Genomic DNA, 16,346 nt, shown 5'->3' on the forward strand with positions numbered 1-16,346 from the left:
TCTCATTGTGGTTTTGATTTGCATTTCTCTGATGGCCAGTGATGATGAGCATTTTTTCATGTGTCTTTTGGCTGCATAAATGTCTTCTTTTGAAAAGTGTCTGTTCATATCCTTCGCCCACTTGTTGATGGGGTTGTTTTTTTCTTGTAAATTTGTTTGAGTTCATTGTAGATTCTGGATATTAGCCCTTTGTCAGATGAGTAGATTGCAAAAATTTTCTCCAATTCTGTAGGTTGCCTGTTCACTCTGATGGTAGTTTCTTTTGCTGTGCAGAAGCTCTTTAGTTTAATTAGATCCCATTTGTCAATTTTGGCTTTTGTTGCCATTGCTTTTTGTGTTTTAGACATGAAGTCCTTGCCCATGCCTATGTCCTGAATGGTATTGCCTAGGTTTTCTTCTAGGGTTTTTATGGTTTTAGATCTAACATGTAAGTCTTTAATCCATCTTGAATTAATTTTTATATAAGGTGTAAGGAAGGGATCCAGGTTCAGCTTTCTACCTATGGCTAGCCAGTTTTCCCAGCACCATTTATTAAATAGGGAATCCTTTCCCCATTGCTTGTTCTTCTCAGGTTTGTCAAAGATCAGATAGTTGTAGATATGTGGCATTATTTCTGAGGGCTCTGTTCTGTTCCATTGGTCTATATCTCTGTTTTGGTACCAGTACCATGCTGTTTTGGTTACTGTAGCCTTATAGTATAGTTTGAAGTCAGGTAGTGTGATGCCTCCAGCTTTGTTCTTTTTGCTTAGGATTGACTTGGCAATGCGGGCTCTTTTTTGGTTCCACATGAACTTTAAAGTAGTTTTTTCCAATTCTGTGAAGAAAGTCATTGGTAGCTTGATGGGGATGGCATTGAATCTATAAATTACCTTGGGCAGTATGGCCATTTTCACGACATTGATTCTTCCTACCCATGAGCATGGAATGTTCTTCCATTTGTTTGTATCCGCTTTTATTTCCTTGAGCAGTGGTTTGTAGTTCTCCTTGAAGAGGTCCTTCACATCCCGTGTAAGTTGGATTCCTAAGTATTTTATTCTCTTTGAAGCAATTGTGAATGGGAGTTCACTCATGATTTGGCTGTCTGTTTGTCTGTCATTGGTGTATAAGAATGCTTGTGATTTTTGTACATTGATTTTGTGTCTTGAGACTTTGCTGAAGTTGCTTATCAGCTTAAGGAGATTTTGGGCTGAGACAATGGGTTTTCTAGATATACAATCATGTCGTCTACAAACAGGGACAATTTGACTTCCTCTTTTCCTAATTGAATACCCTTTATTTCCTTCTCCTGCCTAATTGCCCTGGCCAGAACTTCCAATACTATGTTGAATAGAGTGGTGAGAGAGGGCATCCCTGTCTTGTGCCAGTTTTCAAAGGGAATGCTTCCAGTTTTTGCCCATTCAGTATGATATTGGCTGTGGGTTTGTCATAGACAGCTCTTATTATTTTGAGATACGTCCCATCAATACCTAATTTATTGAGAGTTTTTAGCATGAAGCGTTGTTGAATTTTGTCCAAGGCCTTTTCTGCATCTATTGAGATAATATGTGGTTTTTGTCTTTGGTTCTGTTTATATGCTGGATTACATTTATTTATTTGCGTATGTTGAACCTGCCTTGCATCCCAGGGATGAAGCCAACTTGGCCGTGGTGGATAAGCTTTTTGATGTGCTGCTGTATTCGGTTTGCCAGTATTTTATTGAGTATTTTTACGTCAATGTTCATCAGAGATATTGGTCTAAATTCTCTTTTTTGGTTGTGTCTCTGACAGGCTTTGTTATCAGGATGATGCTGGCCTCATAAAATGAATCAGGGAGGATTCCTTCTTTTTCTGTTGATTGGGATAGTTTCAGAAGGAATGGTACCAGCTCCTCCTTGTACCTCTGGTAGAATTCGGTTGTGAATCCATCTGGTCCTGGACTTTTTTTGGTTGGTAAGCTATTAATTATTGCCTCAATTTCCGAGCCTGTTATTGTTCTATTCAGAGATTCAACTTCTTCCTGGTTTAGTCTTGGGAGGGTGTATGCATCAAGGAATTTATCCATTTCTTCTAGATTTTCTAGTTTATTTGCATAGAGGTGTTTATAGTATTCTCTGATGGTAGTTTGTATTTCTGTGGGATTGGTGGTGATATCCCCTTTACCATTTTTTATTGCATCTGTTTGATTCTTCTCTCTTTTCTTCTTTATTAGTCTTGCTAGCAGTCTATCAATTTTGTTGATCTTTTCAAAAAGCCAGCTCTTGGATTCATTGATTTTTTGAAGGGTTTTTTGTGTCTCTATCTCCTTCAGTTCTGCTCTGATCTTAGTTATTTCTTGCCTTCTGCTAGCTTTTGCATGTGTTTGCTCTTGCTTCTCTAGTTCTTTTAATTGTGATGTTAGAGTGTCAATTTTAGATCTTTCCTGCTTTATCTTGTGGGCATTTAGTGCTATAAATTTCCCTCTACACACTGCTTTGAATGTGTCCCAGAGATTCTGGTATGTTGTGTTTTTGTTCTCGTTGGTTTCAAAGAGCATCTTTATTTCTGCCTTCATTTCATTACGTACCCAGTAGTCATTCAGGAACAGGTTGTTCAGTTTCCATGCAGTTGAGCGGTTTTGAGTGAGTTTCTTAATCCTGAGTTCTAGTTTGATTGCACTGTGGTCTGAGAGACAGTTTGTTATAATTTCTGTTCTTTTGCATTTGCTGAGGAGTGCTTTACTTCCAACTATGTGGTCAATTTTGTGAATAGGTGTAGTGTGGTGCTGAAAAGAATGTATATTTTGTTGATTTGGGGTGGAGAGTTCTGTAGATGTCTATTAGGTCTGCTTGGTGCAGACCTGAGTTCAATTCCTGGATATCGTTGTTAACTTTCTGTCTCATTGATCTGTCTAATGTTGACAGTGGGGTGTTAAAGTCTCCCATTATTATTGTGTGGGAGTCTAAGTCTCTTTGTAGGTCTCTAAGGACTTCTTTATAAATCTGGGTGCTCCTGTATTGGGTGCATATATATTTAGGATAGTTAGCTCTTCTTGTTGAATTGATCCCTTTACCATTATGTAATGGCCTTCTTTGTCTCTTTTGATCTTTGTTGGTTTAAAGTCTGTTTTATCTGAGACTAGGATTGCAACCCCTGCCTTTTTTTGTTTTCCATTTGCTTGGTAGATCTTCCTCCATCCCTTTATTTTGAGCCTAGGTGTGTCTCTGCACCTGAGATCGGTTTCCTGATACAGCACATTGATGGGTCTTGACTCTGTATCCAATTTGCCAGTCTGTGTCTTTTAATTGGAGCACTTAGCCTATTTACATTTAAGGTTAATATTGTTATGTGTGAATTTGATCCTGTCATTATGATGTTAGCTGGTTATTTTGCTCATTAGTTGATGCAGTTTCTTCCTAGCCTCGATGGTCTTTACAATTTGGCATGTTTTTGCAGTGGCTGGTACTGGTTGTTCCTTCCCATGTTTAGTGCTTCCTTCAGGAGCTCTTGTAAGGCAGGCCTGGTGGTGACAAAATCTCTCAGCATTTGCTTGTCTGTAAAGCATTTTATTTCTCCTTCACTTATGAAGCTTAGTTTGGCTGGATATGAAATTCTGGGTTGAAAATTCTTTTCTTTAAGAATGTTGAATATTGGCCCCAACTCTCTTCTGGCTTATAGAGTTTCTGCCAAGAGATCAGCTGTTAATCTGATGGGCTTCCCTTTGTGGGTAACCCGACCTTTCTCTCTGGCTGCCCTTAACATTTTTTCCTTCATTTAAACTTTGGTGAATCTGACAATTATGTGTCTTGGAGTTGCTCTTCTCCAGGAGTATCTTTGTGGCGTTCTCTGTATTTCCTGAATCTGAATATTGGCCTGCCTTGCTAGATTGGGGAAGTTCTCCTGGATAATATCCTGCAGAGTGTTTTCCAACTTGGTTCCATTCTCCCCGTCACTTTCAGGTACACCAATTAGACAAAGATTTGGTCGTTTCACATAGTCCCATTATTTCTTGGGGGCTTTGTTCGTTTCTTTTTATTCTTTTTTCTCTAAACTTCTCTTCTCGCTTCATTTCATTCATTTGATCTTCCATCACTGATACCCTTTCTTCCAGTTGATGGAATCGGCTACTGAGGCTTGTGCATTCATCATGTAGTTCTCGTGCCATGGTTTTCAGCTCCATCAGGTCCTTTAAGGACTTCCCTGCATTGGTTATTCTAGTTAGCCATTCGTCTAATCTTTTTTCAAGGTTTTTAACTTCTTTGCAATGGGTTCGAACTTCCTCCTTTAGCTTGGAGTAGTTTGATCGTCTGAAGCCTTCTTCTCTCAACTCGTCAAAGTCATTCTCTGTCCAGCTTTGTTCTGTTGCTGGTGAGGAGCTGCATTCCTTTGGAGGAAGAGAGGCGCTCTGCTTTTTAGAATTTTCAGTTTTTCTGCTCTGTTTTTTCCCCATCTTTGTGGTTTTATCTACCTTTGGTCCTTGATGATGGTGACGTACAGATGGGGTTTTTGTGTGGATGTCCTTTCTGTTAGTTTTCCTTCTAACAGTCAGGACCCTCAGTTGCAGGTCTGTGGAGTTTGCTGGAGGTCCACTCCAGATCCTGTTTGTCTGGGTATCAGCAGCAGAGGCTGCAGAACAGTGGATATTGGTGAACAGCAAATGTTGCTGCCTGATCGTTCCTCTGAAAGCTTCATCTCAGAGGGGTACCTGGCCATGTGAGCTGTCATTCTGCCCCTACTGGGTGTGCCTCCCAGTTAGGCTACTCAGGGGTCAGGGACCCATTTGAGGAGGCAGTCTGTCCATTCTCAGATCTCAAGCTGCATGGTGGGAGAACCACTACTCTCTTCAAAGCTGTCAGACAAGGACATTTAAGTCTGCAGAGGTTTCTGCTACCTTTTGTTTGGCTATGACCTGACCCCAGAGGTGGAGTCTATAGAGGCAGGCAGGCTTCCTTGAGCTGCAGTGGGCTCCACCCAGTTCAAGCTTCCTGGCTGCTTTGTTTACCTACTCAAGCCTCAGCAATGGTGGGTGCCCCTCCCCCAGCCTCGCTGCCGCCTTGCAGTTTGATCTCAGACTGCTGTGCTAGCAATGAGTGAGGCTCCATGGGTATAGGACCCTCCGAGCCAGGCGCAGGATACAATCTCGTGGTGTGCCATTTGCTAAGACTATTGGAAAAGCGCAGTATTAGGGTGGGAGTGACCCAATTTTCCAGGTGCCGTCTGTCACCCCTTTCCTTGGCAAGGAAAGGGAGCTCCCTGACCCCTTGCACTTCCCGGGTGAGGCAAGGCCTCGCCCTGCTTCAGCTCACACTTGGTGCACTGCACCCACTGTCCTGCACCCACTGTCTGACAGTCCCCAGTGAGATGAACCTGGTACCTCAGTTGGAAATGCAGAAATCATTCGTCTTCTGCATCGCTCACACTGGGAGGTGTAGACTGGAGCTGTTCCTATTCGGCCATTTTGGCTCCACCCCTCGATTTTTTTATTTTTCTGTTTCTTTTTTTTTTTTTTTTTTTTGAGACAGAGTCTCACTCTGCCACCCAGGCTGGAATGCAGTGGCACCATCTCGGCTCACTGCAAGCCCCGCCTCCTGGATTCATGCCATTCTCCTGCCTCAGCCTCCCAAGTAGCTGGGACTACAGGTGCCCACCACCACACCTGGCTTATATTTTGTATTTTTTTGTAAAGACAGGGTTTCACCATGATAGCCAGGATGGTCTCGATCTCCTGACCTCGTGATCCGCCCACCTCAGCCTCCCAAAGTGCTGGGATTACAGGCGTGAGCCACCGGGCCCAGCCTATTTTTCTATTTCTGTGAAGAATGTCATGATATTTTGGTAGGGATTGCATTGAATCTGTAGATTGCTTCGAGGAGTAGGAACATTTTAGCAATATTGATCCTTCCAAACCGTTTTCATTTTTTTGTGTTCTCTTCAATTTATTGCATTAATGTGTTATGGTTTTCATGGTACAAATCTTTCACTTCTTTGGTGAAGTTCATTTACAGGTATTTTATTTTATTTGTATATATTGTAAATGAGATTATTTTCTTGATATCTTTTTCATATTGTTTGCTAATGGCATATGGAAAATGCTACTGATTTTTGTATGTTGATTTTGTGTACTGCAACTTTACTGAATTTGTTTATCAGTTCTAATAGTTTTTTTGGCAGAACCTTTAGGTTTTTCCAAATATAAGCTTATATCATCTGCAAACAAGGATAATTTGACTTCTTCCTTTTCAGTTTGGATGTTCTTTATTTCTTTCTCTTGTCTGATTGCTGTAGCAAGGACTTCCATTACTATGCTGAATAACAGTGGTGACAGTGGGCATCTTTGTTGTGTCCCAGATCTTACAGGAAAGACTTTCAGCTTTTGCCCATTCAGTATGATACTAGCTGTGGATCTACCGTATATGGCCTTTTTGTGTTGTGGTGTGTTCCTTCTATACTCAAGTTTTTGAGGGTTTTTATCATGAAGGGATATTGAATTTGATCAAATGCTTTTTCAGCATCAATTGAAATGATTATATGGTTTTTGTCCTTCATTCTGGACATATGATTTATCAGGTTGATTGATTATATATGTTAACCATCCTTGCATTGCTGGGATAAATCCCACTTGGTCATGATGAATGATGTTTTTAATATGCTGTTGAATTTGGTTTGCTAGTATTTTGTTGAGGATTTTTGAATCAATATTCATAAGGGATATTGGCCTGTAGTTTTTTTTTTTTTTAACCTGTCCTTGTCTGGTTTTGGTGTCAGAGTAATGCTGGCCTCATAGAATGAGTCTGGAAATGTTTTCTCCTCCTCCTCTATTTTTTGGAATAGTTTGAGTAGGACTGGTATTGGTTCTTCTCTAAATTTCTCACAATAATCAGCAGTGAAAACATGGGATCCTGGACTTTGCTTAGAGATCTTTTATTATGGCTTCAATATCATTACTCATTACTGGTCTGTTCAGGTGTTGAATTTCTTCATGGTTCAATCTTTGTAGGTTGTATGTATCTATGAGTTTATCCAGTTCTTCTAGGTTTTCTAATTTATTGGCATACAGTTACTCAAAGTAGCCTCCATTGATCCTTTGAATTTCTGCAGTATCAGTTGTAATGTCTTCTTTTTCATTTCTGATTTTATTTATTGTGTCTTCTCTCTTTTTTTCTTAATTAATCTGGCTAAAGGTTTGCCAATTTTGTTTATCTTTTCAAAAAAACAACTTTTCATTTCACTGATCTTCTGTATTATTTATTGTTTCAATTTCATTTATTTCTGCTCTGATCTTTATTATTTCTTTCCTTCTACTTATTTTGGGTTTTGTTTGCTCTTGCATTTTGAGTTCTTTAGGATGCATCAATAGGTTGTTTATTTGAAGTTTTTGTACTGTTTTGATGTAGCCACTTGCTGCTATAAGCTTGGCTCTTAGTACTGCTTTTGCTGTATCTCATAGGTTTTGGTATGTTGTGTTTCCATTATCATTTGCTTCAAGAAAATTTTAAATTTTCTTAATTTCTTCATTGACTCACTGGTCATTCAGGAGTATAGTGTTTATTTTTCATGTGTTTGAATACTTTCCAAAATTTCTCTTGTTATTGATTTCCAGTTTTATTCCATTGTGGTCAGAGAAGATGCTTGATATTATTTCAATTCTTTGAATGTTTTAAGACTTGTTTTGTAGTCTAAGATATGATCTATTCTTGAGAATGATCCACGTGCTGAGGAAAGGAGTGTATATTCTGCAGCCATTGTATGAAATGTTCTGTAATATCTGTTAGGTCCATTTGCTCTATAGTGCAGATTAAGTCCAATGTTTCTTTGTTGATTTTCTGTCTGGCAGATTTGTCCAATGCTGAAAGTAGGATGTTGTGGTCTCCAGCTCTTACTGTTTGGGGTCTATCTCTCTCTCTTTTGCTCTAATAATATTTGTTTTCTATATCTGGGTGTTCCAGTGTTGGGTGCATATATACTCACAGTTGTTATATCCTCTTGAAGAATCAATCCCTTTATCATTATATAAAGGCTTTCTTTGCCTCTTTTTATAGTTTCTGTCTTGAAGTCTATTTTGTCTGATATAAATACAGCTACCCCTGCTCTTTTTTGGTTTCCATTGGCATGGAAAATCTTTTCCATTCCTTTATTTTCAGTCTATGCCTGGCTTTTGTTTGTTTGTTTGTTTGTTTATTTTTGAGACAGGGTCTCACTCTGCCCAAGCTAGAGTACAGTGTCATGATCTCAGCTCACTGCAGCCTCCACCTCCTGGGTTCAAGCAATCCTCCCACCTCAGCCTCCTGAATAACTGGAACTATAGGCACGCACCACATGCCCAGCTAATTTTTGTATTTTTAGTGGAGATGGGGTTTCACTATGTTGCCCAGGCTGGTCACAAACTTACATCCAACGTTATTGGTAGGTAAGAACTTACTCCTGCCATTTTGTTATTTGTTTTCTGGTTGTTTTGTGGATTTCTCTTCCTTCTTTCCTATCTTCCTTTAAGTGGAGGTAATTTTCTCTGGTTATATGTTTTAACTTCTTGGTTTTTATTTTTTTGTGTGTCTGTTGTATTTTTTTTTATTTGAGGGTACCATGAAGCTTGCAAATAATGTCTTATAACCTATTATTTAAACTGATGACACTGATTGCATAAACAAATTAACAAACAAGTAAAGAGACAACTAATTAAAACTCTACACTTTAACTTCATCCCTCTGCTTTTTAAGTTTTGGTTGTTTCTATTTACATATTATTATTCTATGTCTAGAAAAGTTATTGTAATTATTATATCTGATAGTTCCATTTTTTAGTCTTTCTATTCAAAATATGAGTAGTTTACACCGACAATTACAGTGTTATAATAGTCTGTGTTTTTCTGTGTGCTTACTATTATCAGTGAGTTTTGTGTCTTCAGATGATTTCTTATTGCTCATTAACATCCTTTTCTTTCAGATTAAAGAACTCCCTTTAGCATTTTTTGTAGGATAGGTCTGGTGTTGATGAAATCCCTCAGCTTTTGTTTTTCTGAGAATGTCTTTATTGTTGATTATATAAAGAATAGTATATCTTTCAAACATGATTTTGAAGGATATTTTTGCTGGATATACTATTCTAGGACAAAACTTTTTCATTCAGCACTTTAAATATGTCATGCCACCCTCTCCTGGCCTGTAAAGTTTCCAATGTGAAGTCTGCTGCCAAATGTATTACAGCTTCTTTGTATGGGTTTTGTTTTGTTTTGTTGTTGTTTTTGAGACAGGGTCTCGCTCTATCACCCAGGCTGGAGTGCAGTAGTGCAATCTCGACTCATTGCAACCTCCACCTCCTGGGTTCAAATGATTTTCCTGCCTCCACCTCTCAAGTAGCTGGAATTACAGGCATGTGCCACCATGACTAGCTAATTTTTGTTATTTTTAGTAGATACAGGGTTTCATCATGTTGGCCAGGCTGATCTCAAACTCCTGACCTTGAATGATCTGCCTGCTACAGCCTCCCAAAGTGCTGGGATTACAGGCCTGAGACACCATGCCCAGCCACCTTTGTATGTTATTTGTTTGTTTCTTTTCTATTGCTAATTTCAGGATCCTTTCTTTATCCTTGACCTTTGGGAGTTTCATTATTAAATGTCTTGAGGTAGCCTTATTTGGGTTAAATCTGCTTGATGTTCTATAACTTTCTTGTACTTGAATATTGATATCTTTCTCTAAGTTTGGGAAGATCTCTGTTACGGTCCCTTTGAATAAGCTTTCTACCCTGTTCTCTCTCTCTCTCTCTCTCTCTTTCTCTCACTGCCTCCTCTTTAAGGCCAAATAACTCTTAGGTTTGCCCTTTTGAGGCTATTTTGTCTATCTTGTAGGTGTGCTTCATTCTTTTTTTTATTCCTTTTTCTCCTCTGACTCTGTATTTTCCAACAGCCTGTCTTCAAGTTCACTAATTCTTTCTTCTGCATGATCAGTTCTGCTGTTAAGAGATTCTGATGCATTCTTTAAAATGTCAGTCATATTTTTCAGCTCCAGAATTTCTGCCCAATTCTTTTAAATTATTTAGATCTCTTTGTAAAATTTATCTGATAGGATTCTGAATTTCTTCTGTGTTATCTTGAATTTTGTTGAGCTTCCTCAAAATAGCTATTTTGAATTCTCTGTCTGAAAGGTTACAAATTTCTGTTTCTCTGGGATTGGTCACTGGTGCCTTATTTAGTTTGCTTGGTGAGGTCATGTTTTCCTGTATGGTCTTGATGCTTGTATATGTTTGTCAGTGTCTGAGCATTAAAAAGTTAGGTATTTGTTGTAGTCTTTGCTGTCTGGGCTTGTTTGTACCTGTCCTTCTTGGGAAGACTTTCCAAGTATTCAAAGGGTCCTGTGTATTGTGATCTAACTCTTTGGTCACTGTAGCCATATCTCCATTAGGGAGCACCCCAAGCCTAGTAATATTGTGGCTCTTGCAGACCCATAGAGGTACTACCTTGGTGGTCATGGATAAGATCCAGAAGAATTCTTTAAAATCCCATGTAGAGACTCTTGTTCTCTTCTCTTACTTTCCCCCAAACAGAGTCTCTCTCTGTGTCCTGAGCTGTCTGGAGCCAGGGCAGGGATGACATAAGCACCCCTGGGGCCACCACCACTGGGACTGTGCTGAGTCAGACCTGAAGCCAGCACAGCCCTGAGTCTCACCCAAGGTCCTCAGAGACTACTGCCTGACTACCACTGCTGATTATTCAGGCTCTTTAGTCAGCATGTAATGAATCTTGCCAGGATGGGGTCCTTCCCTTAAAGGCAGGAGGTTCCCTACTAGCCCATGGTATGTAGAAATGTTGTCTGGAAACTAGGGCCTGGAATAGGGACCTCAGGACTCTTTCTGATGCCCTGTCCTACTGTGGCTGAGCTGGTATCCATGTTGCAAGACAAAGTCCTCTTTACTCTCCCCCTCCTCCCCTCAAGAAGAACAAAAGAGTGTCTCCTGGAGCTGAGAGCTTTCCTATCTGGGGTTGGTGGAGGGGTGGCACAAGCATTCCCTTGGCTGCCCCAGCTGGTGTCTCACCAGGTCACATGCATCCCAAGTCCACTGGCTCTGAACCCAGGACTTGCCCAGGAATTGCAGTCCTCATGCCTAGACTGCCTTTCAAGTTTATTTAGAACCCCAGAGCTCTTTGGCCCACAGTGGTGAGGCTTGCTGTAATCCCAGCACGTTGGGATGCCAAGGTGTGCAGATTACCTGTCAGGAGTTCGAGACTAGCTTGGCCAACATAGTAAAACCCAGACTGTACTAAAAATACAAAATTAGCCAGGCGTGGTGGTGCACACCTGTATCACAGCTACTCAGGAGGCTGAGGCAGGAAAATCGCTTGAACTCAGGAGGCGGAGGTTGCAGTGAGCCTAGAGAGTGCCATTTTGCAGCAACAAGGATTGCTAGCCAAGATCAAAGCTAACATGATCAAGTCCACACTGAAAGTGGGAAGGAAGCTGTGTTTTTTTATCTCATCGTAGAATATCCCTGCTTCCTTGGTGTCATTATGTAACTACTCTGCCCCTGAGTATCTTGTTACATGAGATAGTAATTGCCCTTAGTGTTTAAAACAGTGGACTTGTGGTTTTCTGTTACTTGTGGCCCAGAGAATCCTAATTGATACTCAAGGAGAGAGAGAATTTGATTGCCTCAGCTTGGGTTAATTAATTAATTAATTAATTTAACCCAATCTTGGGTTCATCATCAGTGGAAGGGAGACAGGGTCATATGTTGCAGACAAAGTCCCTTGGGGCCTACTTTTACACATTGGGAATATTCTTAGAAAAGAAGGAATTTGGAGGAGTCAAGCAACTTCCTAAGAAGTGACTACTTAGGAAGTGTAGAAATTCATTGTAGAAATTCAACCATGAGAACCTGAAAAATAAATAATAAAGGAAGAGGGAGACAGCCTTAAAATTCCTCAGACACAACCAATGTATAGCACTGTTAATACTTTGTGCACATCCCACCATAATTCTTTACTATATACAATATTGACATAGGTAAAGTTATTTAGCAAGATTGAAGAAACCTTCCGGATCACTGAGCCAGACACATATGTCTGGGAACTCATGTAGTAACACACTATGGCACATGGCTTTGTCTTTGGGTACTCTCAACAAGTCCTTTGGGTGGTCTCCTCCCAGGCTTTCTTTGCCATTACCTACCTCCCTGATGCTAAGACCTTGCTTGCATTCTGGCATCACATAGACCACTCCTCCTGGACCTTACTCTGCACTTCAAAATTGATTCCTTTCTTTTCCATGACCCCAGCTACATTTCTATTCCCTCTCTGCCCTGCTCATCTCTGGGTTTCAAGAAGGAAAGAATATAACCAACTCATTCTCACCAAAATGTCAATAGTATATTTTCTCTTAACATGTTAATCCTTCAACAGATGTCACTTAGAAAGAGGTTTGCTGGGCCGGGTGCGGTGGCTCATGCCTGTAATCCCAGCACTTTGGGAGGCTGAAGAGGGCGGATCATCTGAGGTTAGGAGTTTGAGACCAGCCTGACCAATGCGGAGAAACCCCATCTCTACTAAAAATACAAAATTAGCTGGGCGTGGTGGCGCATGCCTGTAATCCCAGCTACTCAGGAGGCTGAGGCAGGACAATCGCTTGAAACTGGGAGGCAGAGGTTGTGGTGAGCCGAGATCGCGCCATTGCACTCCAACCTGGGCAACAAGAGTGAAACTCCATTTCAAAAAAAAAAAAAAAAAAAAGGTTTGCCAGATGAGGCAAAGCCTCATAAACTGACAAACTAAATATCTAATGGGTTTTGTCTGCCAAGAGACCTGAGGCAGAACAGATCAGAGAGAGCGGTAGGGTGCGGTGGCAAGGAGTCAGCTGGTATCCACCTGAGGGTTTCCATTTGTGCTGGCTTTTCCTTGACAACAGGGTCTGCAGATTGAAAAGTTGCCCTGCATCCTTTTCACTTAAGCTTGATGGCACTTTAAGTTATCTCCTAAAATTTTATATCAGGCTCAGCTTCTAGGCTACATTCAGCAGGTCAGCCCATAGAACTTTCTGCCTTCAAAGAAAAAGCACTTCTAGAAAGAAACATTTGCCATTTTCCTTGGCAGAGGGAAGACAAGTCATGAAGACCTTCCCTAACAGAATTTCAGACACCTAATGGGGACTGTGGACATACTTTTAGCTAAGATTTGGGACCATCTCCAAAATCCCCAAATCCTACCACATATCAGCCTCCTATAAGGGAATCATGTAATCCCACCTTAGGTAATATTAGATTTTTAAAGTTTCCTATCACTAGTTTATAACAAAACTTCATGAATGGAAACACACACAAAGTTAATGGAGTTGACTTGATGATGGTCTGTTCTCCCTTTTCTTTACTTCTCCCTTTTCTTCTTTTTTCAGGCTAGGACTGATCTTGGACAAAACTATTCCTTCCCTTTTCTAGGGCCAGATTTCTAGGCACCCAAATTTCTGTTTTCTCATCCTCCCTGTATCTTCTCCAGCCTAGGATTACTGTGTCCAACCTCCTGGGCTTCCTTCTTTCCCTGCCACACCACTCCTCCAGTTTAGCTGGCTCTAACTTTCATCATCTCCAGATCTAAGGCTTCAACTAACTAATATGGTTAACTAATCAGTGTTACAGTGTGATGGTGGAAGACTATGGGTTCTCCCAGGTAACCAGTGTTCTGAATCTAGAGACATTTAGAGGCAAGATACCAGGCAAGTGTTTACTCTCTGCATTAGAGAATATAGACTGGTGATGTTACTAAGTGCATTATTTTTTAGCAGAGAGGTTAAGCAGGTGGTAACCGGATTTTAAAAACACCAAAATGTATTCCTAAATTAGCTCTGTCCAGACATCTCTTCTTTCTCTTCTCTGTCTCTCTGACCATCATTCTACTTCCTCTTTTCTAACTTCCTCTTTCTCCTGGCATTTTGTTCCTTTTTTCTCAGGTTATTAAGATTTAACATCAATACTTCCCAGATTTAGATTAATCTGATAAATACAATCAAAAGCCTCAGTTGCCCCATTTATAAAATCAGAATTATTTTAGTTCTAAGAGTATAGCTAAGATAGTGTTAGTTTCCTCCATCTGAAATATTTTATAAACTACATATACTATAACATGTATGTATTAGTGAATTAAATTTAAAAAATAAAATGGACTCCATGTACCCATGTTTGCCCCTTATTTGCCTCTCCCTAGTCCCAACCTTACTCTCGGATAACCATTATCCGGAAATTGCTTATGATTCTCTTGTTTTTATGTTGTTTTTACCATATATCATTATAACCCTAAACAATAAATGGTTCATTTGTGCATGTTTTTAGACTTTATATGATATACTTTGGTTTTAGACTTTATATAATATACTTTGTGAATACTTTGGCAACTGGCTTTTCCTCTCAATATTATGTTTATAAGATTCAGCTCTTGGCCAGGCACATAATCCTAGCATTTTGGGAGGCCTAGGCATGAGGATCACTTGAGGCCAAAAGTTCGAGAACATCCTGGGCAATATAATGAGACCCTATCTCTACAAAAAAATAATTTTTAAATATTAGCCAGGCATAGCGGTTCATGCCTGTAGTTCTAGCTACTCTGGAGGCTGAGGTGGGAGGATTGCTTGAGCCTGGGAGGTCAAAGCTGCAGTAAGCCATGATTGCACCACTGCACTGCAGCCTGGGCAACAGAGCAAGCCTCTATTTCAAACCCCAGTCAAAATGGCTTATATCAAAAAGACAGGCAATAACCAATGCTGTCAAGGATGTGGAGAAAAGAAAACTCTTGTACACTGTTGCTGGGAATGTAAATTAGTACAACTATTATGGAGAACACTTTGGGGGTTCCTCAAAAAACTAAAAATTGAACTACCATATGATCCAGCAGTCCCATTGCTGGGTATATACCCAAAAGAAAGGAAATCAGTATATCACACAGACATCTGCACTCCAATGTTTGTTGCAGCACTGTTTACAATAGCTAAGATTTGGAATCAACCTAAGTGTCCATCAACAGATGAATGGATAAAGAAAATGTGGTACATATACACAAGGGAGTAGTAGTCAGTCATAAAAAACAATGAGATCCTGTCATTTGCAACAATATGGATGGAATTGGAGATCATTATGTTGAGTGGAATAAGCCAGGCACAGAAAGACAAACTTCACATGTTCTTACTTACTTGTGGGATCTAAAAATCACAACAATTGAACTCATGGACATAGATAGTAGAAGAATGGCTACAAAAATAATTAGAAAGAATTAATAAGTCTGGGCACAGTGGCTCATGCCTGTAATCCCAGCACTTTGGGAGGCTGAGGCAGACAGATCACTTGAGGTCAGGAGTTTGAGACCAGCCTGGCCAGCGTGGTGGAATCGCATCTCTACTAAAAATATAAAAATTAGCCAGGCATGGTGGTGGATGCCTGTAGTCCCAGCTACTCAGGTGGCTGAGGCAGGAGAATTGCTTGAACCCGGGAAGTAGAGATTGCAGCGAGCTGAGATTGTGTCCCTGCACTCCAACCTGGGTGACAGAGCAAGACAGGAAAGAGAGAAAGAGAGAGAGAGAAGGGGAGAGAGAGAGAGAGAGAGAGAAAGAAGGAGGGAGGGAAGGAAGGAAGGAAAGGAAGGAAGGAAAGGAGGAAGGAAGGAAGGAAGGGAGGGAGGGAGGGAGGAAGGAAAAATAAATAAATAAAAAAGAATAAGACCTGCTATTTGATAACACATTAACTTAATAGCAGATTTTAAAATAACTGTAAAGGGTATAATTGGATTGTTTGTCCTTAATGCTTGAGGAGATGGACACCACATTCTCCATAATGTGCTTATTTCACATTGCATGCCTGTATCAAAACATCTCATGTACCCTATAAATATATACACCTACTATGTGCCCACAATAATTAAAAATTAAAGAAAGAAAGACTCCATTTCAAAAACAAATCATCTCTATCTTAGTAGCTGTAGTTCGTTTATACTGTTCCATGGGAATCTACAGCTTAAACACCATTTCGTATCCATCCTTTTGTTGGGGGACATTTGAGTTGGAAACTCAATACATTCATTATATATGTTATGAATATATATGTTTTTGTGAACATATAAATGGATTTCTATTGGTTATACATACAGGGAGTAGAATCACAGAGTATGCCTGTATTTACCTTTATTACATAATGGCAAACTGTTTTCCAAAGTAGGTATATCCATTTATATTCCCATCAGTGGTATATGAAAATTCCAGTTGCTTCACTGTCTTGCTAGTATTTGATATTTTCCAACTTTTAAGTATGTGCCAATATGGTGGATGTAAATGGTATCCCCTCATTATCTTAATTTGTATTTCCCTGATTACTAATAAGGTTAAGCATCTTTTCATGTTTATTGGTCATTCCTGTTTCTTGTCTGTGAA

Source organism: Homo sapiens, chromosome 2 (genome assembly GCF_000001405.40).
Source record: "Homo sapiens chromosome 2, GRCh38.p14 Primary Assembly".
In the NCBI taxonomy this organism is placed as follows: Eukaryota; Metazoa; Chordata; class Mammalia; order Primates; family Hominidae; genus Homo; species Homo sapiens.